The sequence below is a fragment of the Homo sapiens genome, chromosome 1 (genome assembly GCF_000001405.40).
Source record: "Homo sapiens chromosome 1, GRCh38.p14 Primary Assembly".
NCBI classification, from domain to species: domain Eukaryota; kingdom Metazoa; phylum Chordata; class Mammalia; order Primates; family Hominidae; genus Homo; species Homo sapiens.
The window spans coordinates 103086203-103113263 of record NC_000001.11 but is presented as its reverse complement, the minus strand read 5'-3'; the positions used below and the strand labels follow the sequence as shown (position 1 = coordinate 103113263).

Sequence of the window (27061 nt, the reverse complement as noted above, 5' to 3'; positions counted from 1 at the left end):
ATATTCACTTCAAGTCAAGAATACTGTCAAATGGTATCAGGGTGGATCAATCTGTGAAGAAATGATAGAGGTGAGAAAGAGGATCCTACTTATTTTAGAAATAATGTAATGATGTATTTGGTATCTTGTTGCCTTTTGTTATTTATAAAGTAATGTCAAAGGAAAATTAGTGGTACATTCTCATTTAACTATGAAAATTAAATTTAAAAAATTATGAAATTGTTATGAATAAATTCTTAAATTATCCCTTTAAAGATGCTAACATCTCTACCTTCAGCAAACTTATTTTGTTAGGAATAACCAATGTGGATCAAGTCAATACTACTCAAGTGATAGTTGGAACACTATAGAAAGTAAAATATCTTGGTTATACATTAGTAGTGTTGTGGTACACTTCCTTTAGTTAACCATTTAGAAAATGGTTTACTAAAACATGTAAAATCCATTCTTCCACATCTAATAATAGAGGTATTCCTGCTGCCCTACACAACTTGGTAAAAAGCCATGTTACATTTTTTGCTGACACACATTCCCAGGATGCCCTAAGAGCTTAGTAAATGCCAAATGCATTCATTTGAGAAAAAAAGAGATACAGAGAGTAAAGGTATGTTGACAAAAGTCCAAAATATATCTAAGTTTTTACCTTGAATTACTCCATTCTCTGTTTCTTCCTTCTATCTTTGATTGGAAAATTATGAAAAGGAACTCTGATAGCTTCCTGTGAATATAGCTAACTAAAATATCTTTTTAACAGAAATAACATGAACATACAAGGCCATATTCCTTGTTTGTTTGGTGTTCATTTAGATCCAATTTTATTTTAGGTCCTTTTAAACAGGATACATCTGTCATCTCTGAGATGTCTCTTTCAACACTCCAACAGAAGAAGGTAAAAATCTTCTTCATCTGAAGATATTGTTGTATAATGGAAATTGGGCTAAATTTGGATTCCTCTAATGTTCTATAAGTTATTTCAGAGTAATGTTGCCAAAAATTACCCAACCCTTACTGTAAGGTTTTTGTGAGCTAGGCTAGACTATGGAAATAAATTTCTCTGTCCCTCTTCCACCACCACGCTACAATACAATGGCCCATCTGTGAGGTCAGAGAGACTAACTTTACTTTTAAACAGAGACTAATTTCTAGCCACTCATGTATTAGAAAAACTATAAAATGAATGTCAGACTGCTTAGTCATTTCCTTCTCAAAATAATTGACCTAAAGTTTAGAAAAGGGCAAGAAAGGCAAACCTTTAGGCACAGTAAGAGAGGGATTACATGCAAAAGCAATTTTGTTTTAAACATTTTAAGTATTTCTGGTGTGTGCAAGAGCCCTCACCCCATAATTTCTCATTCAACAAATCATATTTGATGATATAATTTTAATTAAAGTAAAATGTTTAGAGAAAATACCTAATTTATATCTATCTATCTATCTATCTATCTATCTATCTATATCAAAAATAGGGGGATGAAACATCAGTATGAGAAAAGGGGAATACATGCCAAGTGACTTAAAAGATGATGCACTGTTTATAAAATCGTGTTACCTAATATACTTCTTCTTTCCCCTAATTCTAGCTGTAGTAATTTAAGGATTGTTATAGAGTTCTGTCAATATTTTAATACTATTTGTATTAGGGGCATCCAGCTATTGTCAAGGTGTCTTCAGTCTCCCTTTGGTTGTAGAGGTCTTAATGTTTCAAACACTGGTTCTGAGTCCAGCTCCCCTGATTCCTAGAGATTTGTGAAGATGTGAAGGATGGTTTATGAGCTTTTTACAATGTTTCATAAAGTTCTGTGGGCTCTGAAGATTGTTTAGAACTTTAAGTTTCCTTACTTTGACCTCCCAATCCATTGTCGAATTATTATCTCAGTTTCTCTGACAAGCCAATATGGACGAATGGTTAATTTAAAATGCTGCTACAGAAAAATTACTATTTTTTCTCTACTTTTCAAATCCTGTTTTTGAAAATCTTGCCAATAATAACTAATTCTACAAAGCTGAAAAAATAACTTTAAACATCATTATTTGTAAATGTGACAAAATAGGAAAATATCACCGATTGTGCTTCAAACTAAAGACTTATGTCAGGAAAACTGCCTGTTTTATTATATTTTGAATCTACACGTAAACAATTAGCAAGGACTGGTTGAAAGATGGCCCAGGAAATGATGCCATTGGAAGTTCCCCTGTGTGAAGTTGAAGTTAGCTAAGGTGCCTCTCTTCTGGCTTTCCCCTGCTCCCATTGTTGTTTAGTATTATCCTTTCTTTCACTGAGTTAATCTCCTGTAAATCCATGGGCTGGTTCCTAGGGAGGCTCTAGATCTGGCATCTAGCAACAGACTACAGGGCTTAGATATAATTATTCCTCACCATGAATTTGCTATGTTTCCTTCTAGAGGCATTCATTGAGACCCAGATTATGCCTAGCTGGGCAGTGGCCAGAGGAATTCAGACCACAACGTACAGAGAGCATAAGGTGGTAATAACTCTATTCACCCAAGATGCTTTGCCTGAAAGGACCCTTTCACAGCAGTGAGAAGGTCTGAGTTGTGACCAGAAAGTAGGGACTGCTAGATTGACTGCATCATTTCTCACCTTCTAGAACAGTATCAGGCCCCAGAACTCTCAATAAATTTGAGAGCTATTAAGAGACAATTTGGAACACCATTTGTACATGTTGCTACAAGCACCGTAACTCTCTCTGGCTATTGAATTGATTTAGAATTCTGGCAGCTTCACAAATACGTATTTCTAAACTTGCATTCATTTCACTATTTTACATTTGAGAGAAGATGTAAAAAGTAATTTTTAAAATATCTGAAGAGTCGACAGAAAAATCAGTTTGTACACAAGTTTGGAAACAGCCAATATATACAAATTTTCCATCTGTGAGACGATGAGGGATAATGAAGATGGTAAATACATATATTTTTACTGTAAGGGTCTTAATTTGTAATTGTGCATTTCAGGTTCAAATGCAATATGATATTAAATTATTTTAACCAACAGTTTAAGGTTGTAATCTGAAGAACTAGTTGATGATATTTCTCTGCAGCTGATATGAGGCATCCCAAACATTCTGCCAACAGCATTACAAATGTCAAGTATTTTTTTACCTGTGATCTAAGAGATAGCTTCTTGATAAAGGAGTAGTTCTTTGTTATGGAGAGTGATATTTATATTGAAGGTATTTTCTAGTTGCTTTCTTCAGTTTATATGTCTCTGTTCATGCTGTTATACCCCTATAAGGGCTCAATCTAGTCTTTGATCACCTTTCTTCCAATTTTAAACTGCATGAAGAGATTTGATGTAATCTGATAGATCATGAGGCATATTTTGATGACTAATAGAAAACTGAGTTCCTAAAGATTAGTGGCAGCTGTAGAATTGAACATATGTACCCAGTAAACTTAGTTGAGGGCCTTTAAGCATTTAAATGACTTAAATACTCAAAGTAGGCCCTGGCCAATGCTTCTAGTCTTTGTCAACAGAAAAATGTGTTCATTCATCCAACCCATCTCTATTGAGTGGCTAATGTATGCTGGCACCCTGATGGGCACTGTTCCAGAAAATCTTTGAGAGAAACATCTTAGGAATTATTAACGAACAAAAAGGAGTCAATAGAATGGAATGATTTTAACGTGGAAAAAGTGACTTGGGAATCTATATTCCAGGTGTAAGAGGATTACTTTGAGGATGGGTTAAGTAGAGAGGGAATTTAGAAACCTGCCCTCTTCATTACTCTCACTGTGGAGTGACCACGTTTTTGGCTCCCGAGGCTGAGGGCCAGGGCCAGGCCCTTAATGAGGAGCTGTGGGCCGAGCCTCTTGGAGATTTCTGCTAGTTGCTTTCCTCGCCTTTTCTACACACTCCTCAGTACCCCCTCATCCAGGATCAGAACAGAATCAGCTGGAAAATTAAATTACTCACCCTCTTAATGTCAGCTCCCATAAATTTTTTCCTCCTTCTCCCTCAGAGTACAGTTCAACTCTTTTAAGAGGAAAGCCACTGAATGAACCTAGTGCTGAATTTAAACGTTTAAGAGATAAACCTGTCAGTTTCAGATCTCCAAAGAGGACTTCCCTACATGCTCTAGGTTTTGACTTCTAGGGTCCCTCCATTCTATCTTCATTCCTTTCTTCTAATTATTGGGTTAAAAAAATAAAAATAAAAACACTTTTCAGAGTAGGCAGCGCAATGAGTCCACTGGTTCCACGTCTGCCATACGAAGCAGATTTTTGCACAAGGATAAGGTTACCGCTGCCAGCCCAGGACTCCAGCGGTGTGGCCGATCAGGCGCTGGCCTCCTCCCCTCTCCCGCCGACCAGCGAGAGGCTAACAGACGGGTGCAAGTAGACAAGTAGCTGTTTTTATTGAATACAGAAGCTCCTTGAAAACTCCGTGTGCTCCGGGGCTCTCCTGCAATTCCTTTCATTCCCAAAGTGCTGGAGCCAAGCACGCGTCCCCCGTAACTCCCTCCCATTTTTTCTCGGGGATTTGGTAGGCGAGGAGGGAGGAGAGGAGTGGGGAGATGGGGGGTGGTTGGTGGGCTGGGCCTGCTCGGAGTCCTCATTCTTGGGCTGAGGGAGGCGGGGGCGGGCTTGGGGCCGCCCCAGAGTCGTGTGATTGGGTCTGACCCTCAGCCTGCTTGTCAGTTTCGCCCTGGGAGGGGGAGCTGGGAGCAGGGAGGGGAGTGGGCGGAGGAGGGGGCTGCCCGGAGCCACTCGTCCAGCCCACTGACGGCATGAAGCCTTTAGGGGCACACAGTACTCTCAGCTTGTTGGTGGAAGCCCCTCATCTGCCTTCATTCTGAAGGCAGGGCCCGGCAGAGGAAGGATCAGAGGGTCGCGGCCGGAGGGTCCCGGCCGGTGGGGCCAACTCAGAGGGAGAGGAAAGGGCTAGAGACACGAAGAACGCAAACCATCAAATTTAGAAGAAAAAGCCCTTTGACTTTTTCCCCCTCTCCCTCCCCAATGGCTGTGTAGCAAACATCCCTGGCGATACCTTGGAAAGGACGAAGTTGGTCTGCAGTCGCAATTTCGTGGGTTGAGTTCACAGTTGTGAGTGCGGGGCTCGGAGATGGAGCCGTGGTCCTCTAGGTGGAAAACGAAACGGTGGCTCTGGGATTTCACCGTAACAACCCTCGCATTGACCTTCCTCTTCCAAGCTAGAGAGGTCAGAGGAGGTAAGAAAAAATGGATTTGGGGAGGTGGGAGATTGCCGTCGGTCCTACTGCTTCTGCGCCCCTCCCCCCACTTTACCCTTCCTCCCCGCTCTTCAAGAAAAAAAAAAAAAAGCAATTCCCTTAAATACAATCCAGATTGTAGCTGCTACCAGGTTGGAATTGGAAACTGGAGAAAGAGATGAATGTAGGCGGGACAATAAAGGGAGACGAGGTAGGTAGCAGGAAAAAAAGATCTGTCAGGAGGAGAGCCTGCTGAAAATGCCCTTCACCACTTTCCAGCCTCTTTGAAAAGAGGAAAAATATTACCTTGAACACAAGGGCAGTTATACAAAGCTTTTGTTTGAGGCACAGTCTTTAGACTGCCCTTGGAACACATCTGGTTTCTTCAGATTCTAACTAATGGGAATATCTTTTTAAGGGTGAGCTGAGGAGAAAATATAAAGGGTATAAAATGAACCTTGATAAAGTTCTTTGTCTGCAACCAAGTGAGAAGCAGGCTGTTTTAGTTTTGGGGATATAAGAGAAACCAGGGGGGTGAATCTAGAAGATTAGGAACACTCTGTGTGTTTGGGGGGCGGGGGAGGGTCAATCTATTTTAAGTGGACAAAAATTGGCAGATTATTAGGAATAGGTTCAAGATAGGGAGAACACTTTCCCCTGAATTTCAGTGACTCCCCCCACCCCACCCCTCCGCTTCTTCTTGCAGGTTGGACGTGCAGTTCTCTTGGAGAATGATGAAAGTCGCCAAGCAAATGGGGTGGGGGCGGAGGACTAGGGATTGGGAGGGAAGGGGAGGGGGTGTGGGTAGGGTGGGAGGAGAGAGGTAAGGAACAGTTCCTACGTGGCACCACCAAATATTCAATGGCCAGACCTGCTCGGAAGTCTGCAACCCTGTCAGTACCCACGGAGGGAGAGCGACTTCACTCCTCCCCTCCGCCTTCTCCCTCCCTCTTTCCCCCGCCCTTTCCCGAAAAGGCATCTGGCTGGAGCGGTCCGTTAGGTGCCTTAGAATCGACTGGCAGGCGAAAGCCTTTGGAGGTCAGGGAGCCCAGACAGCTTAGAGTAGAAAGCAAGCTTTGTGAGGAGTGCAGAAAGAAGCTGGGGGATAGGAAGGAGGGTGACTGACGAGGTTGGGTCAAGGGAGATAAAAATGGTCAAGCCCAAATGCGTAGGCTTTAGCAGAAACTTGAGTGTGGCCCTGGGTCTAGATGCCAAGATCTGAGCTCTCCCTAATGAGAGTCAGCCCTCCCGGAGGCCGATCTCTGAGACCAGGTTATTCCTTCCACACGCTTAGTGGCTTTCAGCTTCCCGAGTAGCAGGCAGCGCTAGATTATTCCCTTGGGTGACTTTTCCTGCTAAATACAGTGAAAGTCCTATTAGGACTATATTTGAATTTTGAAAGGAGTTATTATGTTGATTAATTATGTTGATTCATTCATTTCCACATTTTCAAGGATAGATAAGAGTGTCTTTGAAAGTGAAATCCATCAAAAAGTTTGTATTTTACTTTTGGTACCTGGTCACCGGTTGGATTGGTCAATTCTGTCAGCAGTTCTGCCCTCTGCTGGTTTTGTTTATTATTTAGAATTCCTGCGTCTACCGTGGGACATGAGGCCTCTGTAAGTCCCTCTTAACTACAGTGGTACTGGAAAAGGACCTTTGATTAAGGAAAAATGGATATGCCATTTCTTTTTCAGCATGTCACACACGCATGTAAATGAGAATATTGTAATGGCAGCTATTTATTGAAAATTATAGGAACTGAGAATTTCTTCGGTGATGGATGAAATACAAGCTCCGAGAGACACTTTTGCATGGATTCAGGGATTATTTTACTGAAGCTATTTATTTTTATTTTCCACATTGAGCCTTTCTGTGGCGATATGTGAATATTTTTTAATATCAAATTTCTGTACTTTTCATGCATAAATTTTCTATTTTCAGTCTAGCAACATACCTGAAACACTTTTAAACAGCATCCCAGTACCACATCAAATAAATGGTGGGAAAACAACTTTCCCTATTTTTATGAAGCCAAGTAATGATAGAAATAGCAAAGTATAAGGATTAGATTTTGTTGGGTTTCTTCTTCATGAAATGCCCTGAAAGTTAAGTGGTAGTTTAGATATTTATATTTTAAGATTTTGTTATGTGTTTTATCAAGCTGTTTAGTGCTCATTTTTCCTGGGAGGCCACATATTAACATAAATCCACTTTTGTAGGCATTCTTATCCCTTAATTAACTTCAAAAAGGGAATAATAGTATATTAATGCTTAAAAAGAAAACATTGGCTACAAATCCTGAATCACCACACAAGGGAAAAATAAACCCAGTGTCCACTTCTGATAATAACCTTTAGATTTGTGGTTGAAGTAAGATTTTATACCAATTTCTAAATAAAGATATTATATCCCAGCATCATACTATGACATTGATTTCATTGAGGTACAGTGATAAGATTTGGATATTAAGCACAAAGATAATTTAAAACAGATACTACTTTTATATAAAATTAAAACATTAAAACCTTAAAACATCTGAGTTCAAAACAAAGTTAGACTCTAAAGAAAATAATATAGAGAAATTTCTTGGAAGTGAATGGATTAAAGAAAATTTATGACTTCATACCTAGTCATATTATTTTACTTTGAAAAATCAAACTATAACTTGGAAATATTTATTATACTCATTAAAAATCAATCCTTGCTGTGATTTAGAATAACAAGGTTAAGTGTGATTTTTATAAATATTTATTTACATTAACTTCAATTTTATGTTTCATATATATGTTTATTTTTAAAGTAAATGATGTATCTCAGCGATTTATTGATATTCTTTGGCAGTTAGTCCATTACTTACTATTCACAGGAGGTGGGGTTTACCTGGAATTCATAGTGACCACACTATGATTATCTTAAGATAGATGAGTTTATGTAAGGGTTTTAAGTAAGAGTTAGACTTAGCTATAATGAAGCACTAAAAAAAAAAAATCTAATTGAATCACTTTTTACTAATTAAAATTACATTTAACCTTTGGCAGTTAAGCCAATACTGTATCTTGTAAAAGGCTGATCAAACTGGGAACTTTGGAAGCTTGTCAGGAATCGATAGTGAGCCCTGAAGAAGTGTAGTTTTGAGTGCCCAGGATCAGCAGGTGAAATGGTCCTGGCTTCCAGAGTATGTGCTAGTCCAACAGTGCAAAGAGATCGAATTTGTCCATTTGGTTCCTTAATCAGAAATCAGAAACTCAGATATGCTTCTGATAAGAAATGCAGTGTTTGCTAAACTCATTAATATTATGTCTTTCCATTTGTTTTTTAAATTCAAAATTGATCAGGACTATAATAGAGAAAGAATATAGACTAAAGAGAAACACCTTTCTGCATGCTTTACACACATAGCTTCAGTTTAGGTGGCACAGATTCTTTTACCTAGTTGTCCATTAGTTTTGAAATTAAGTTTCTTAATATCTTAAAGTGACAATTTGCTTCATAATTAATACTTAACTGAGGGGATACTTTATAGAAGTTATTCTCTAAAAGGTATTTGTATAGTTTTAAACAAAGTTATGCAGTAGCAAAGTGAGAAATGTATTTGCATAACATAATTGGTAAAAAATTAATATTTTTTCGGTTTTTTATTTTCTTCAATTTGTGACTAAAATAGAACCACATGGTTGTTCATGTTAAGTTATCCTTAAAATACAGCAAAGCAAACATCTCTTTTCAAATTTATGGGTTGGCTTTCTAGCTAAGAAAATTGTATAAAGAGTCACCTTTCTTTTCTAAAAATTTGCTTTTTCCTAGGATAAATTCTCTTCACTCTGATTAATTTAGTGAGATGCTGGCTATTTCATGATAACAAGGATTTAAATCAAGTTTGGTTGAGAGTCTCTGTGTAATACAAGCTGAATTTTTAAAAGGTTAAAAAAAGGTGTTTATATAAGATTTTTAAAAGAGAATGCTAGCACTAGAAATTATAGAAATTGCTAATCAATCTTACCTTCTCAATAAATGAGGAAACTAAGACACAAAAAGTTGTCAGCTGAATACTCTTCCTCATAAAAAATATTCTTGTAATATTCAAGGTTTTTCTGAGTAGAGTGAAGATCTGTAATGGTGATCAAAAGAATTTTAAATAATAGAAGTCTGAGACAATGGAATGAGAGGAGAGAACTTAGTAGTGCAAGTTCTAATTAAAGTTTTATTTTGGATTGTCAAAACACCTGAAACTAATGTAAGTACCTTTTAGCTCAGGAAAAAATTGACATTTAATTTATGGGAAGTACTCACTCTCAATGGACTACCATGATATCTGTTGTGCAATCAACAACTATTACAAATTTAATTACCATATGTGAAATTACAAGGAAGTAAAAGAGAAAGAATTCGATATATTATCGCTATATTTATTTCCAGAAGTCTGAAATTATTAGACCATATATTTGCTAGAGTTTAGATTAGTGAGAAGGTAGATATAGTGAAAATGTCTTATATAAAGAAATTTAAATAGAAAATAGTTACAGAATGAATTTTTTAAATACTCTATTTACTACCTTTGAAGAAAGGTAATTTTTGATCATTTGTATTCTTAATTATGTCATTTTATAAGATTACATCAAAGTAGAAGGCGTAATACTCTATTCATTGCTGGATTAAGAACATAGTTTTGTATGCTCTCTAAAGTTGTTAATAGAAGACTAGGTCCAACTTTGAATTTCTAAGAAGCTTAGAAAATTATATATTTATTTCAAATAAAAAATGGCAAATTTCTGATATTTTCAGGTTAATTTCAATTGATTGGATGACATATATTTTATGTATACATATAGTATGACTTTTATTAATGTCAGATAATCATTATGACACACTTGTGTGTTGTTTGTTTAACAGTTTTTTTTTAAACAAGTGGCAAACTGAAGAAAAAAATAGGAGAGAACGTAGTAGTGCAAATTCTAATAAAGGTTTTTATTTTGGATTGTCAAAGTATCTGAAATTACATAAGTATCTGTTAGCTTAGGCATAAATGGGCAGTTAATGTATAGGAAGTAGTCACTCTTAGTAGGCTACCATGATATCTGTTGTGTTGTCAACAACTATTACAAATTTAATTACCACATGTGAAATTGCAGGGATGTAAGGGAGGAAAATTTTGATTTTCTATCTCAAAATTTATTTCTAGAAGTCCAGTCTTCAACTAGTATTCCCACCAAATTAAGAGTCTTTCTGTTTTTAGGGAAAAGCAATACATGGCCATAGGGTCCTGAAGATTATACTGTGAAAGCATTTATCATGAGTTTTTATACTCACAATTAACTATACCATTTTATGTAAATATGGAGTTTAAAAAATGCTGAGATATCTCCATCATTGTATACAATTTTTAATGATTATGTTTAGGTATTTAAAAGCCAGAATTTTATTAGATACACTTTTATTTTCTCCTTACTTTTGGAGAAGTAATCAAGCATGGATGGCGTGATCATTAGGAATTCAAGGCAACTGCAAGTGGGGACTGAGCGTTGGTCAGCATTTCTGCTTTTACTCCTTCACTTCCCTCATGTAATACTGGGGAAATGTGACCTGAGTTGGGAGTGGTGAGAGGAAACCAAACTTTTTCTTTTTTGACCATTCAAGTTTTGTTCCTTAGCAAAGAAGAGAGATAAACGCTGATGTTATAAAAAGTTGCAATGTTCCCTAAGTTCTTTCACTAAAGAGTCAACTTTAAATGCAGTTTTCAGTGTAGCTTTCAGTATACACTAACGCACTTTCTACATGAGGACATATTCCTTCTAAATTCTCTTGCAATTTAATTCAAAACCTAAAGGTATTTTTTTTCCATTTTAAAATACTTTCTGTTTTAGAATGCATCTAATGTATTTCTTTCTCCTTCCTTCAAAACCCTAATATGGTTTTATTGATATAGGTAAGTGTATTCTTTTATATGTTCACTTGTGTCAGAACTCAACATGAATAATACTAGCTTGTAGCAAAGATGAAAGACAATTTTAAAGTGATTTAGTGAGTAATATCTATTTATCAGTTGCAGTCTTTGGCCTACTACTAACTTGGCTAGTGGTTCTTTAGACATTGGCTGATCACCAGACCTACTGTTATCTGGTAAAATAAACTCTTTGCTTGCTGCGCATGGAATTAGAGACAGTGCTATTAATTTAGGAGAAAGAACTTAGAGAAAGGAAAGGTTATCATATTTCAGAGTAAGAGACCAGCTTAAATACGACTTGACAATTGAGAACTAAAACAAACCTGTGTAAAAGTGCTTTAGCACAATTAACTTTTGCAATCCCCTCAAATCTTCTTTTTTTTTTTTCTTAAAAAGCATTTCTTTCTTATTTTAACCAAATTTAATTGCTCTTGAATGGCTCTGTACTGTACAGGCAAATGAAGCTCCCTATTCATAGAACTTGAGTGCACAGAGTATCAGGGGAAGCTTCCTTCCTCTGTTTGACTGGTAAACTGACATCCGGGCTTAAAGGAGTGAACCTTAGACTGTGTGAGGTAGTTGGCTTTCCTTCCTCACTCAGATTTTCACATAGACTCCCTGAAAGGATGACTGCCAGAAAGAGCAGTAGCTTGCTAATAAGAACTCTAGTGCATTTTCATACTTGGTGCTCTTAGGTAGCTCTGCACAGAAAGAAAAAAATGTAAATATTGAAGTGGTGTCTGTCTTTCCTTTACTTCTGTCTTTAGAGTCTAAGAGTGGAGCTCAACCTACTGCTGACTGTTACTCTTCCTTTTGCATGCAAATGAAACTTCAATTATTTCACTGGCTTTTAGGATAAGTTTGTTGTCTAATTGGGTTAGAGTGCCCTTCAGGATGTGGCATATCTTTATGTCCAGGCTCAAGACCAGCCATTTCCCACCTCCCCAAGCCCATTTCCATTTACCTTGCACTTTAGTGATGTTAAACCTCTTGCCTGTGTTCTCCCCTATCTTTGAACACTCACCCTGGAATGTCTATCTCATTCTCTTCCATCAGCAAACACCTTCTCCTACTTTATACTTCGAAATTTAAGTAAAATATCATAGCTCCAGAAAACTTTTCCTTATATCTCCAGGTGAGCCCTAATACCAAATACATGCTCAGTATGTACAAGGTTCTGTCATATGCACTTTCATAGAGAATCTTATTTAATTGAGACAGTTTTCCTGGAAGTAAGCTGATATCAAAATACTGATTTTACCCATGAGATAACTGAAAAACAGAGAAGTGAAAGATTTTGCCTAAAGTCACACAGCTAGTAAGTAGTAGACCCAGAATTTGAATGCTGCCAAGCTTTCTCCAAGGCCCTTGCTTTTGGCCACTTGTCCATGTTGACTTTGCTGGGTGTTCTAATGCTTCTATACAGCCTCCTAGGCTTATCTTATTATTATGGTGCCCTGGGGCCTAATATTAATGTACACATCATGCAGCTAAACCACAGAAAATACCAGGTCATTGGGTGAATAACTTGACTGCCTTCAAGGAGAAATAAAAAGAGGTTCTGGTAAAAGGTGATGTTAGAATCCAGATAGCTCTTCAGCCTGCACTTAAGTTCAGTGGTAGAGACCATATTACTCTTACCATTTTATGGACAAACCTCAGCCTCAGTGGTAGTGGAGGATTGAAAGGGGAGTTTCTGGGAGCCATCAAATATTAGTTTTGTTCCTTTGATTAACTTAAGGAGAAGCTGACAGATGTATCTGTTAGTATTCAAAGTTCCAGTTGTGGTTGGCTTGGTTTCATTAAGTAAAAGAACTCTTATAGATCATTGCTTGTCCTAATCAGGATCCATTATAAAGGTCATCAGGACTTATTCTACTTTTGGGGATTGGTGTATGGAAGTTCTCTTAACTGTCTTCAGCATAAAAAATGTCAGAGTTGATTATCCAAAAGCTTTTTTGGAGTGTAATCAACTGAGAGAATGTAACATCATTATTTTAAAAATTACTCACTTATGTCAGTCTTCTTCTAGGAGTTCCTGGGTGGGTAGTGACTGTGATCTAGTTTTATTTGTGTCCCCAGTGTCTACCATGGTGACAAAATACACAGCATTGATATAGTAACTATTTAGGTTAATTATATTCTTTTTTTACCCAGAAGACTGGAACAAGATTAAAATTGAGTTAGCTTGGAATGGTGTGAACTGAAAGTTTGAGGACCTCCTCAGATTATGCTGTTGGTAGTGACATGAGTAGTGACTCCTCTTTTTTAAATTCATTTGCTAAAAGTAAATAAATTTCAATTTACCTCTAGCTTTTTCATATGGAAAACAGTTCTGCATTCTCTCCAAAGGTGCCACTGAATATTTGTAGCTACAGAGTGACTATATTACCTCCAAAACTTTGTTTTGTTAATACCTTAAGATATGTAGTGGTATTGACCGTAGCATAAATCATCATTTTACTTTTCTACTAGTGAACAAGAAAGTTTAATCTGAGAATAATATCAATCTGTAAAATCGATCATTGGAAATAGTCCTCTCATATATTCATTATTGAACCTTTCATCTCAGATTGGTATGCTATTGGGGATTAGTTGTCTGACTTTGCTTATTAGCTATTAGAAATAGCAGTTTATCCATATATAATATATATATATATATCCATATATATAATGTATGGATGTGTGTGGGTACATGTGCATGTGTGTATAAATAAAGTGCTTTATGTTTATTTCAATAAACTCATTCTTCAAGTTAGAAAGTAAATTATATGTTTTATGTATATTGGAATTATTATATTATGAAGTACCATCTCCAAACAAGAAATATATAGAGCTTCAAAATGCTTAATAAGATTAATAGACAATAGTTGTAAAATTCTTTTGGAATATAGTTACATAGTTTTTATACTATATTGCTATCCATGGTATATTTTAGTTACACTAAAATCACTGGTATAGGTATGTTTATCTGATTTATTTCATCTAGAACAGAATCCATCTAGAACAGAAAGCATCTAGAACAGAATCCACCACATAGTAGGCATTTGGTAAAACTTTGCTGAATGAAGTGAGGGCGTTGTTGACATTGCTAATGACTTGATTGTCCATAACCTAACCACCTGAGATGTGATATATAGCTATGTGTATCACCTACTCTCAATGTCTATGGAAGTATCTTGAACCAATTTCTGCTGATATTATTGTGATTTCCTGAGACTATCAGTCTCTATTTTGGTTCTAGGCCAACCTATGACCTCTACCCTAAGCACTCTCCCACTTTGTTATTTCTGAAAGTAAAAATCCTCTTTGCTTGAGATTTAGATATTGTCTCCCTCTAGAAATAACTTTCTTCAAGCATTGAAGATTGGGGTAGTTAGCCTGGCATAACATTATAAAGCACACTATACTTATCCAAAACTCAAATACTTATCTCAAAATATTTTTGATGGTATAATGAAAGCAGGAAATACATCTTTTTCACTGATGCAAAACATTCTGGCATCTGTCACCATATCTAGAGGAAAATAGATAGCCAGTAAATATTTTTTGAATGAATGAACTCATAAGCAAGATATTTTCAATAAAGTCAAGAGGACTGGGGTCCGTGGCTTAGTATCATAATTATTTCCAATCCTAACGCTGGAAATTTTGATGAAATAGATTTTGTATGACATCAAAGCATAGATGCTTTATAAAGTTTCATAGATAATGTTGATGCAGAAGCAGGGGTTTACAAACCTTCTGTAACAGGAAACCAATATATAAATAAATAGAAATGTATCTGGCTTGTATAACTAGGCACTGGAAGTCGAGTGAAAGGCTATTCATCATAATGTACAAATTATTTGATAAATATGCTATTGCTAAGCAGTAGTGGCTCTGCAATAACTGAGTTGAGGAGATCAACTAATTACAATATAGAAAATGCTTTCTTTTAATCCTTCTCTCCAGAGCATGTAATAAACTAAATGCCAATAAATATTGCTCTTCTCAGTATTAAAGTCAAATGGTTATATTGGAAGTATAATTTTAGTTTTATAATACATCTTTTTTTTAACAGCCTTGGCTATTTGTAAATTAGAAATGCTGTACTTTTAAAATGTCATACTCTCAACTAGTTTTTGTTCTTTTCTTCACCATACTCAGAGTTGTGATGCCATTTTTGCTTTCCACTTTCAGGTCAAGCTTTTATGATATAAAAAAGTTCAGGATTGAGTCTGTTCAATAACTGTAAAAGTTAAATGACTATCTTCTATGTTAATCACTGTGTTAAGTGCTGTGGCTACACAGACAATATGATGATCTCTATTCTCATGGAGTGAAAAGCTAATTAATACCTGCAATCATTCATTTACTTATTCAACAAATATCTATTAAATCCCTATTAAATGCTCTTCCTGAATTCTAAACTAATTCATTCATTTCATTGCCACGTTCGACAAGTACAGGTTAAAAGCTCATTATATGCTAAAGGTAGTTGGTGGGCAAAGATAGTTATAATCCTGCCTCGTAGTGATTATGGTCTACTTGAGGAGACAGTAATTAATCAAATAGTGGTACAAGTAAATATAAAACTACAGCTATGCTAGATGCTTTGAAGGAGAGGTGTATGGTTCCTGGAGAATACAAAACAGAAGTTTAGTAAAGTCGAAGAAAACTTCCCTGAGAAAGTACCAATTGAGCATTGATTAATTAACTAAAGTGAAGAGGAAAGAGCATTCCAGGAAGTGATGTGAAGGCCTTTATGAAGGGAGGATGACACCATAAGGGACTTGAAGAAAGGACTTGAAAAATGGCAGTATGTCTGGAGAAGAAGCAGTGGGGATAAAACGTGAGATGGTGCTGGGGAAGAAGGCGGGGGACACATAACACAAGATCATAAAGATAGATTTTTCTGCATAGCATGGAAACATGTCACTAATTAAAAAGTACAAGGAAACTGCCAAGTTAGCAGGGTCAGTGCATACTTCGATATCAACACATAACTAGGTTGTCCCAGTTGATTCCTACCATTGGATCCTCTGACAGTCAGTGAACTGGGGCCATGTTGTTTTTTCTGGAATAGCCAACCCTACTGTCAAATCACTTGGGGTTCTCAACAGTAATTAGTACATTTAAGTCACACTTTATATGGAGCTATGGTCATGTAGTCTTGCAAAATATATAAGTAAACTTCCACTTCATAAGGGAGTATGAGAAAAATGTTAAAATAAAATCTGCTATAAGACAAAAACATAACTTAGCATTTCTAAACCTTATGTGACTGTTCTTGTTATTAACCAAAGTATATCAGCTTTTAGAACAAAAATTGCAAACAATGATTTTTGTTTCTTAAGATTAATATATGAGGTCATGATCTCTATTTTGATTATTTGAGATGACCAATTGTTTATTGTCAGCATTTTTTTAAGTCTTAAAGTTCTCTTTCAGTGGAAATTATTCAAATAGAATTTTAAAGTAATCATGTCATTGATTGATTAATTGTAGCTCTGGATAGCATTGGTAGGCTGTCAACTCCTAAAGTTTTATTTCTATCCTGCTTTACCCTGAACTTCAGACTTGCATACTTGACTGCCTACTCAATGATTTCTAACAGTATTTATTAAGTCATCTCACATTTAGTATACCCAAAACTGAATTGCAGAACTCCTCTCCTGAAACCTGTTCTTCTCACAGCCTTCTCCATCTCACTTAATGGCAACCCAATCAATCATGATGTTCCAGCTACAAATCTTGAACTAAGCTTTACTCATTTTCTCTCTTATCTCCTTTTCTACCTATCAGCAACTCCTATCTGCTCCACTTTCAGAATATATGTAGAATCTGACCCTTACTTTCTGTCTCAGTCTAAGAAAGCAACATTTTATATCTGGAAAATTGCAGTTACTTCCTCACTGCCGCCTGATTCCACTCGAGTGAGCCTAGAGTTTCTTCTCAACACAGCAGACCCAGTGGTCTGAAAGCATAAAATGAATGGAAACTATCTGCACCTTCCTCTCAATTTTTCTGTAAACCTAAAACTGGTCTAAAAAAAAAAGTTGATTCAAGTCATCCTTCTCCCCTAACCTTCCAATGGTTTTTAAATCTCATTTAGAATAAAATCCAGTCTCCCTGAACATTCCACAGGACCTATACAGCTTGTTATCAGTGTATCCTCACTTTTACTTCTCTGACCACAGCTCTTTCACTCTTGTTTTGTCCATGCAGTCAATCTTTTTTATAGCAGTATTCACATATTCACATAGAGTACATAGAAAGATTTTGGCTTTTATATAATACAGAGTTTAAAATAACTTTACAGGGAACTAAATTTCTTCAATCTGAAGTTCAGCTATCTTTTTTTTTTGTTAACTTTCCATGCTCTCTATCCAAACTGAACAATATTTTCTGTTACACAAATTTACATGAGAAAATATCCAATGTACAAATGAAGGGACCTGAGCAGGAAAGAGAGCCAAAATATTAGGAAGTGGGTATGGGGGATAATTTTTTGAAAAAAGATCCCTTTGTTGAGACATATTTGTCTCCTTGCATTTCTTTCAACATTCTGGGCCAACTATTGTCTCGGGTTCTTTGCACTTATTTTTCCTTTTGCTTAGAATTCTGTTCTGCAAGAATAGCAGGATAGAGGAACTTCCTATGACTTTCTAGACTTTGCCCAAATATCATTTTCTTATTGAGGCCTTGCCTGTTCTTTTTATTTGATATTATTTTCCAGGCCTTTGCAACCCTCCCTATAATCTTTTTATGATTCATTTTTTCCTTAGTACTAATCAAATATTTTTCATATAGAAAATGATGGTGCATTTAAAGATACTGAGTTTGTGTTAATTTTCTATGTAAAATGTAAAATTAGATAATTTTAGAGTATAAATGTTGCCTTAAATTATTTAAGCTTTTAGATGTTAGCAGCATCTAGGTCATCTATATCCAATAATTCCCATAGTTTGTTATTCCATTTTATGCAGTATTGACATACATACATAGTATAGTCAATATAAGAGCCAAATTCTACACAGTAAAGCATTTTTTCTTATTTGATGGACACTATGCATGTTAATTCAGGTGTTCTGAGAAATGACAGCTGTGTAGAAATGGTAACGGCATTTTGTACTTTGTTTTGTTGGTTTAAGAGAGCCATGGTGATGGCTACCTAGAAAGTAGTATTGCCCTTAATCAAAGATAAATTCAGAATCATGTATTTTATGTAGAGTTGACTTTTGACCAACATAAGAGTAAGAGGAGCCAACTCCCTGTGCATTGAAAATCCATGTATAACTTTTGGCTCCCCTAAGACTTCATTACTAATGCCTACCATTCATGGGAAGCCTTATTGACAAAATAAACAGTTGATTAATACATATTTTGTATGTTATATATATTTTATGCTGTATTCTTACAATAGAGAACAGAAAATGTTCTTAAGAAACATAAGGATGAGAAAATATATTTAGTATTCATTAAATGTAAGTGAATCATCATAAAGATTTTCCTTATCATCATCATCATCTTCATGTTGAGGAGGAGGAGGAAGACAAGGGGCTGATCTTTTCTCAGGGATGGCAGAGGCAGAAGAAGTGGAAGGGGAGGCAGGAGACGCAGACACACCTGTGCAACTTTAGGGCTATACATTGTAATTGGTGTCTGACTTTTTGCTTTTTTGTATCTCTAAAAAATGTTTTCATATGGTACCAATCCTTCCTCCACTGTTTGCTTTAATTTTAGTTACCATATCATAGAAGGGTCTATGTGATAAAAGAAGGCAAAAGCAGTCTTGAATAATCAGACCACTTCTGCCAGATTGTCTAATGTCAATTTGTTTTCTGACACTGCCTCTTCTATTTCTTCTTCCCCATCTTCTGACACTGGTTTGGAAGCATTCATCCTCATCAAGTTGTCTTCTGCTAATTACTCTTGTGTGGTGTCTATTAGCTCTTGAATTTTTCCAAGATCCATATCTTGAAACCCTTTGCCCCCACACCTCCACATTTTTTTTCCATATCCACAATCTCTTTCCTGATTTCCTTTATTGGCTCTGCTGCAAATCCTGTGAAGCCATGGATAACATATGGCCACAGTTTTCTTCAGGAGGAATTTATTGCTTCAGGCTTGATGGCTTTCAAGGCTTTCTCTGTAACAATGATGACATCTTCAATGGTGTAACCCTTCCAGACTTTCATGATGTTCTTTCTATCAGCGTTCTCTTCCATAGCATTGACAGTGCTTTCCATACAGTACCATGTGAGTGAGCCTTAAAAATCCTTATGACCCCATGACACAGAGGTTGAATTAGAGATGTACTTTGGACAAGTAGACCACTTGAACACCTTTGTCATTGAATTCATGGGGTTATGGGTGGCCAGGGGCATTGTCCAATATCAAAAGAACTTTAAAAGGCGGTTTATTACTGGCAATGTATTTTCCAACTTCAAGGACAAAATATCGACAGAACCACTCCAGAAAAAGGGTTCTTGTCCAAGCCTTCTTGTTGTACTACCGAAAGACAGGCATTCCTGTTTATCTTTTCCCTTCAAGGCTTGGGGTTAGCAACTTTATAGATAAGGGATGCCTTCCTCATAAACCTGACTGAATTTGCACAACTGTAGAATTTGCCTGTTTCTTCTTACCTTAAATCCTGGTGCTCACTTTTCTTTCTTACTAATAAATATCCTTTGTGGATTTTTTTTTCCAGAATAGGGCTGTTTCATATGCATGAAAAAACCTGTTCAGGCAGCTATTCTTTCTCCTCAGTGGTTTTTCTAATGGTATCTGGGAAATGGTTTGCTGCCTGTTCATCAACGAAAGGTGCTTCTCCTGTTATCTTGACATTTTTAAAGCAGACCTCTTTCTAAAATTATCGAACCACCCTTTTTGGCATTAAATTCTTCAGCTTTAGATTCTTCACCTTGCTTTTGCTTTAAGTTGTCATATAATGACTTCACTTTTTCTTGAATCATATTGAACTTCATAGCTATATAATGGCTTTCTCATAGCCACCCTCACCCACATAAAGCTGCATTTTCAATATAAGATTTTAAAAAAGATGTTTTGCAAAAGTTCAAGGCTTTTGCACTTACTGGCATAGATGCAGTGATGGATTCATGGATTTCCTTTCTTTTCTTTTGTCTTTTTCTGTTTTTTTTTGTTTGTTTGTTTTTGGAACAATGATCCTTATGCTGGACTCATTTATCTTGAAATGGCAGGCAACCACAGCAGACCTCAATCTACAGTACATATCAAGCAATTCAACTTTGTGTATGTATGTATGTGTGTGTCATGACTTTTCTCTGCTTCTTGGGAGTATGTGAAACATTAATGGTACTTCAGATAGGTTCCCTGGTGCTTTTCAAGGTTTACAATATCGCACTAAATGTGATGAAAAGCACACAAGAAACATGAGAGATCACTTTTTACAGAGATAGGCAATTTACTAGAGAGATCCACTGCTCATGTGGAAATGATATTTAAGCAGATACTTGCCACATTTGGGTTCACCACAATAGCAACAGGAGGTGGCTAACAAATGATTACAGTAGTACAGAATGCACTACACTTAATCTTATGCAGTTTTCATTTATTGCTGCATCTTTATGTTTGTTTACATTTCTCTCCACTATGAATGGTGCCATGTGTAATGGTGCCATGTATGATCTGTGTTTGTGTGCATAAGATTTGACAAATTTTGACTTTTTATACTTTATTTGTGCCTATTTTATGGTAGTAAACCATAAAAGACTTGTATCTACATATATTTTGTGCATTCATGACATACTTAACTTTTTCTTAATGTTTTTGATATTTTTAGCCTACTTTGTTCTTCTGGAAGGTTTCTCAAATTGTCACAAATCTCCAAAAATGTGTTTTAAATTTATGTATTGAACCATATTCATACATAACTGGACCTATACATTTCAAATTAGTATTGTTCAAGGGTCAACTATTTCTCTCAATCCCTAAATAGGTTAGAATTATAAATAGGCAACAATGGGATGCTGATACAATTGATTTTGCTGGAAGTCACACTTTTTCATTAATTACACTTCAGAATATTTTACTATGTATTTTTATTGACCTTTCTAATTATGAATTTCACTATGCAGTTCATTTTGTTTTAAACTGGAATTTTCCTGGAATTGTAAGAAAATACATTTACATTTGTTCACTGGATTTCTATTTTCTGAAAAGATAGTACTAATAGGCTTGTTATGTGTTTGGTTTGATGAAATTAACTCTAAAATTCCTAAAACTCCAGGTTACTGATATATATTGTCTTTCTTATGTCATTCTCAGTTTGGTGCTCTTCACTGTTTGAATATGAAATACGCAGTTTTTTTCAAGGTGCCTATCAAAATCTTAAGCCATTTTATGCCAACATTTGTTTATTTATAGTATTCGTGTGTATATTAGTGTATATGTGGAGAAATATATTAAGTAAACAGAGCATTATTAATGACAACACATCTTAGTTGATTATAAAACCCTTCGGGGAAAATTGAACTCTAAATAATATTGTGGAACACTTCCCATGTCCTGTAGTAATTAATGTAAACTATACAACTGTAAGGGCTTCATATATAATCTTACAATTTACTAATGTATTTTAGTAGTTTATTTCTTTAATTTTGCACTTGTGTTGACTACAAAGATTAGATTGTAGCATACAAGTCAAACATCTGGTAATTTCATCCAAAAAGGGTTCTATTGAGGGTAGGAAGTTTATGTAATTTTTATTGGCATTATTTGTGTGACATCATCATTTAAATATGAACTTCTGTATCTTTTCAAATATGGGAGTATTTAAGTCAATGTGCTTAATTTTCTAATATTTTATATTCATATATAATTCATGGTTGGTATGTGGAATATATGTATTTACAATAAATGAAAGAACAGTGTCAGAGGAAAGGGTCTACAATATTACATTTTTAAATCTTTAATAAATAGCTTAGATGAGGCCCGCTGTGTTTAAGCTATAGTTATATCAATTTCTATGCAATGCAAAGAAAAAATAATGAAAAGAGAAAAATGCTAATGATATCAGTGTATTAATGTCCATTTGTACTACTAGGGGGTAATGAAGTGCTGAGCATGAAAATATAGATTTAAGATCTATTTGGTTGCTTAAGCTAAATTCCAGGAAACCTCCTGAGGTTGTTTGCATCTGGAATACAATATGAACATGCTGAAGAGATTGCTAAGCAGTACATAATTTTTATGGATGATTTTGAATGGACATTTAGAGATCAAAACTGTTTAGTATTCTACTCAACTGCAGAGAACTTTCCCAAGGTAGTCTGAGGAAGCAGATAACAGGAATCAATTTAATTATAGCTCTAGGGAAATGTGGATGGTATTAAAGATGTTCAGAAAGGTAGACATTTTCATGGAATAATAATTTTAGATAATATTTTTATTGAATATGTATTATGCATTAGACACCATTCTATGTTTAAAATTCCTTACAGCGTTTAATTCTCAAAATGAGACTAAATTGAGAAAACTAAGTCTTGGAGAGGTAAATAGCTTATCCAAAGTCATAGAAATAATAACTACTGAATTTGGATTAGTTGTTGGGCAGTTCTTACTGTGGAAACTAGTTATCAATTGTTGTTTATAGGCTTGGCATGTCCCAGTTTTTAGACTCTTTCTTAAGAGCCATCATGATTTTGAAATATAGCAGAATATTAGTAGTAGGAAAATTATAAGAAATAATCAATTTTCTATCCTTTTCTCTTTTGTCAGTCCTACATCTCACTACCACATGCTCATAGTAGCAATACTGGTTTTTTGACTGAGTGGAAGATGGCTGAGAACTTTCTTCTGTATTATTTTATTTTTATTAGTTCCATAATGGTATGCCTCACATATAGTCTGTGATGTGAGGTATGGGTTGAGAATAAGTGACTCTCAAGAAGTTGGGAAAATATCTACATTAGGAAGGCTACTTTATTATTGTTACTTATTTTATTTTATTTTATTATTTATTTATTTATTTATTTATTTTGAGACAAAGCCTCGTTCTGTCCCAGGCTGGAGTGCAGTGGTGTGATCTCGGCTCGCTGCAACCTCTGCCTCCAAGGTTCAAGAGATTCTCCTGCCTCAGCCTTTGGAGTAGCTGGGATTACAGGTGCATGCCACCATGCCAGGCTAATTTTTGTATTTTTAGTAGAGACAGGGTTTCGCCATGTTGGCCAGGCTGGACTTGAACTCCTGACCTCGTGATCCACCCACCTCGGCCTCCCAAAGTGCTGAGATTACAGGCGTGGGCCACCACGCTGCTTCACACCTATATTCTTCCCACACCTGAATCAAACAATGGCAACAAACAAACTTGGAAACCTCTTCAAGTTCTTGGTAAAGGTCACTTCCAATCCTCTTCCTTTCCCATCTCAAACTGGTAGGAAAAATGCTTCAACTATGAGACAGCTTGTGGCTACTCATTTATTCATCCATTAAACATTTCTCCATTGATTATTTACTGTGCTTCAGCTGCTATGTCTTTGCAATTTGATAGTGAATATCAATAGCACTGATGTTCACTGTCAGAGGGTTTACAGTGTATCAAGGGAGGCAGATGTTAAACAATAAATTACATGCTTAACAGAGAGAGAAAAATATTAGCTGATGTGAGTATGTAACAAGAAAATCATGACCATAATTTAGACAGATGCTGTGCCTGAGAGCATACAGCCTAGAGCCAAAGACATAATTAAGCAAGCGAACAAAATAGTGTAGGGTGATCTAAGGGGAAATACAAGACACTGGGATCATATAAAGAGGTCACATCATCCTCTTGGATGAGCTAAGAATAAATCTCCTAGAATAAGTCATGCTTAGGTTTACACTAAAAGGTTGACTAGGTCTGAAGCCACCGAGTTTCAACCCTGGCTGCACATTAAACTCATCTGGGAAACTTAAAAAATATGGATGTCTGTACCCAATCATTCTAGTTTATTAGTTCTGGGGTGGGTTCCAGGCATTCATAGGTTTTATAAACTCTTCAGATGATTCTATTGACAGGATTGAAAAATAAGTCAACTGTCCTTAACCAATTGAGGAAGGACTGGAAAAAATCTACAGATAAAGACAGCAAGGTACATTTTAGAAACTGAAAATTATTCCAGTTCTAGTAATAAATGTCAGGATGGGCGAGTCGATAGTTTTTATTGGAGATGGCTCTTGGAGTTTGTGGCAGTGAATGCATGATGAAGATATGATTTTTCTCCAGTGGTCCTCAGCAGCCATGGTGCATCCAGGGATAATCTGGAGAGCTAAATTTTCTCCGTGTCCATGTCTCCTTGGGCAAGCATGGCTGGTTTCCTTGAACTCTTTACTCTCTTTGTATCTGTGCTACCATATCTGCTGTTTCTTTCCTTCTCTTCTTCACTGAGGAACTCCTATTTATCCCTAGGGACTCAGCTTAAAAGGGCTAGGTAGTAGATATTTTAGTTGTTGTGAGCACACAGTCTCTGTTGCAGCTACGCAACTCTGTTGCAGTACAAAAGCAGCTATGGACAATATATAAATGAACGGGTGTGACTATGTTCCAATAAAAACTTTCTTTATGAAAGCTGAAATTTCATATAGTTTTCATGTGTCACAAAATATTGTCCTTTTATTTTTCAACATTTAAAATGTACAATTATTCTTACATCATGTACCATATAAAAATAGGCAGCAAGGAGGTCTATGGGAGGTCTATACCCACAGGCACAGATTTCCCCACCATCATTCGAAGGCATTGTTACAAAAACCAATTTAGTTCTGACAAAAAAAAACTCTTTGAAGTAAATATTTTTGTTATTCTCATTGTACTGATATAGAAACGGAGGCCCAGAGTAATTAAGTAATCTGTCCAAGTCACACAGATGCTAAGAGGCAGAGGTGGACTTAAGAAGCAGTTTTGCTCTTTAACACTGTAATGATGCGGTTCACTACTGGTCATGGGAGTGTGCAAAGAAGCTTAGAGAAGGAATTAGAGATGAAACAATCAAAGTATTATGAGATGTTTCATCAGTAATCTATATGGATGGTGAAGGCAACAAGGGAGAAAGGATCAAAGACTTGGGATCAAACTGATCAGTGAAAGGGTGGTGGTGTTTAAGAGGTCAATAGACTACAATAAAAAGTACATATTAGGACCTAAAAAAATTTAATTTCGACACTAGATAGCCTGAGGATTTCAGAGGAAGTTCCTTCCATATATTTTCACATTATCGTGTTTCACATTCAACCAACATTTTCATAATCTCTGTGTGTTTGTGTGTGTATACCTGTTCCTTACTAGTTTGCAAAAATTGGCAAAGACAAGGCAAATAATTTTAAAAAAGTATGAAAGGTGCTATAATAGAGGTTAGCAGATCTAACCCAGCTTAGGGAGACAGAGAATGTTTTCTGCAGAAGATGCATTACCAGGTATATTCTTATCCTTCAGGTGAGGTGGAGCTAAGTGTTTGAAACAGAGAGTAGGGTTTATAAAGGCCCAGAAGCAAGCCAGAGAACATGGTGGATTCTGGAAAGACTGAGTTTAGTATGGTAGAACACTGAATGAGGACAGAATGAGGGACTCATGAGAGCTAAGACTGTACATTCAGTGAGCTTAGAGTGGTAGGATAAGTGGGAGTGTCCAGATATCCAAGTTGTATATTCAAGGAATGTGGAAATCATCTGAGAGCCAGTGGGGTTCTTTGAAGGAATTTAAACATCAGAGTGACATGAGACATGGATTTTTGGAAGCTTAATCAAGTTGGTGGAATGAAGATTGATGGGAAAAAGTATGGAACCCAGTTAAGTGGCTATTTTAGTAGCACATTGGGCTCTGATATTCTATTCTCCCGTTTAATAAACCTATAGGTATTCAATAAAGGACAGGAAAATATAATTGAACAAAACATTGTGCTGAATTGGATACATCTGAATTGCATACACATGGTTTGTGCCAGCAGTTGGCAACATAGAGATAATTAAAATATTAAGGTCATTTAAGAATTGCTTTGAATATGGACATTTTACTTTTTTCATATATCATATTTAGCCATAAAATTACTTCTTTTAATCTTTGAACAGTTGCAGTTAGCAAAATATAAAGAATAGCTTTCCCACATATATGTATGTATGCGTATAAAACAGTAGAATCCATTTAATGACAATTTATTAAACGCAATATCTATGAGGATTATGAGATCAAATAACAGGCAGAATTTCAAAGTAGCTTAATTCATTATTTAGTTCACTTGAAATAAAATAAACTTAAGGACTTAATTAATGGAGTTTTACTTTTTTGTAACTTGAAATGCCTTTTTGGGAAAAAAAAAAAGGCTTGGTTGATACCTTTATTATATGTCTCTACTTGTATTGTTTTTTGAGGAGTGAACACTTGGATAAGGTCATGGTGTTAAAAGATACGTTGTTGCCGGGCGCGGTGGCTCACGCCTGTAATCCCAGCACTTTGGGAGGCCGAGGCGGGCGGATCAGGAAGTCAGGAGATCAAGACCATCCTGGCTAACACTGTGAAACCCCGTCTCTACTAAAAATACAAAAAATTAGCCGGGCGTGGTGGCGGGCGCCTGGAGTCCCAGCTACTCAGGAGGCTGAGGCAGGAGAGTGGCGTGAACCTGGGAGGCGGGGCTTGCAGCGAGCCGAGATCGCGCCACTGCACTCCAGCCTGGGCAACAGAGCAAGACTCCGTCTCAAAAACAAACAAACAAACAAACAAAATAGATACGTTGTGGACTTTGCAGTCCATTTTATGTATTATTTACCTCTGCCCAATTGTGATTATGACAGTGGGGATGCATTTTGTTTTCCTTTTCAGAAAAATTACAGCCTTCATAGATGTGTTCATGTCTATCCTCAAGTCTTTATTCAGTTCTACTTTGGAGAATGGCTTCAGAGCAAAAATATAAGATAATTTAAGCAGATAA

At 36.1% G+C, this 27061-nt stretch overlaps 1 protein-coding gene and 1 pseudogene across 9 annotated transcripts in view; both read left to right on the top strand.

Moving 5' to 3' along the window:
- The window catches only part of COL11A1 (collagen type XI alpha 1 chain), a 232050-nt gene continuing 209730 nt past the window's right edge, over positions 4742–27061 (top strand). For all 9 annotated transcript variants that reach the window (NR_134980.2, XR_007085257.1, NM_001190709.2 and 6 more), the window contains exon 1: positions 4742–5191. Coding sequence is in view for 7 of the 9 variants with exons in the window: in NM_001190709.2 (NP_001177638.1) it covers positions 5086–5191 (106 nt within the window). In the remaining 2 variants the exon portion in view is untranslated. The remainder of the gene's footprint in view (positions 5192–27061) is intronic.
- SOD2P1 (superoxide dismutase 2 pseudogene 1) lies at positions 12557–13124 on the top strand (annotated as a pseudogene).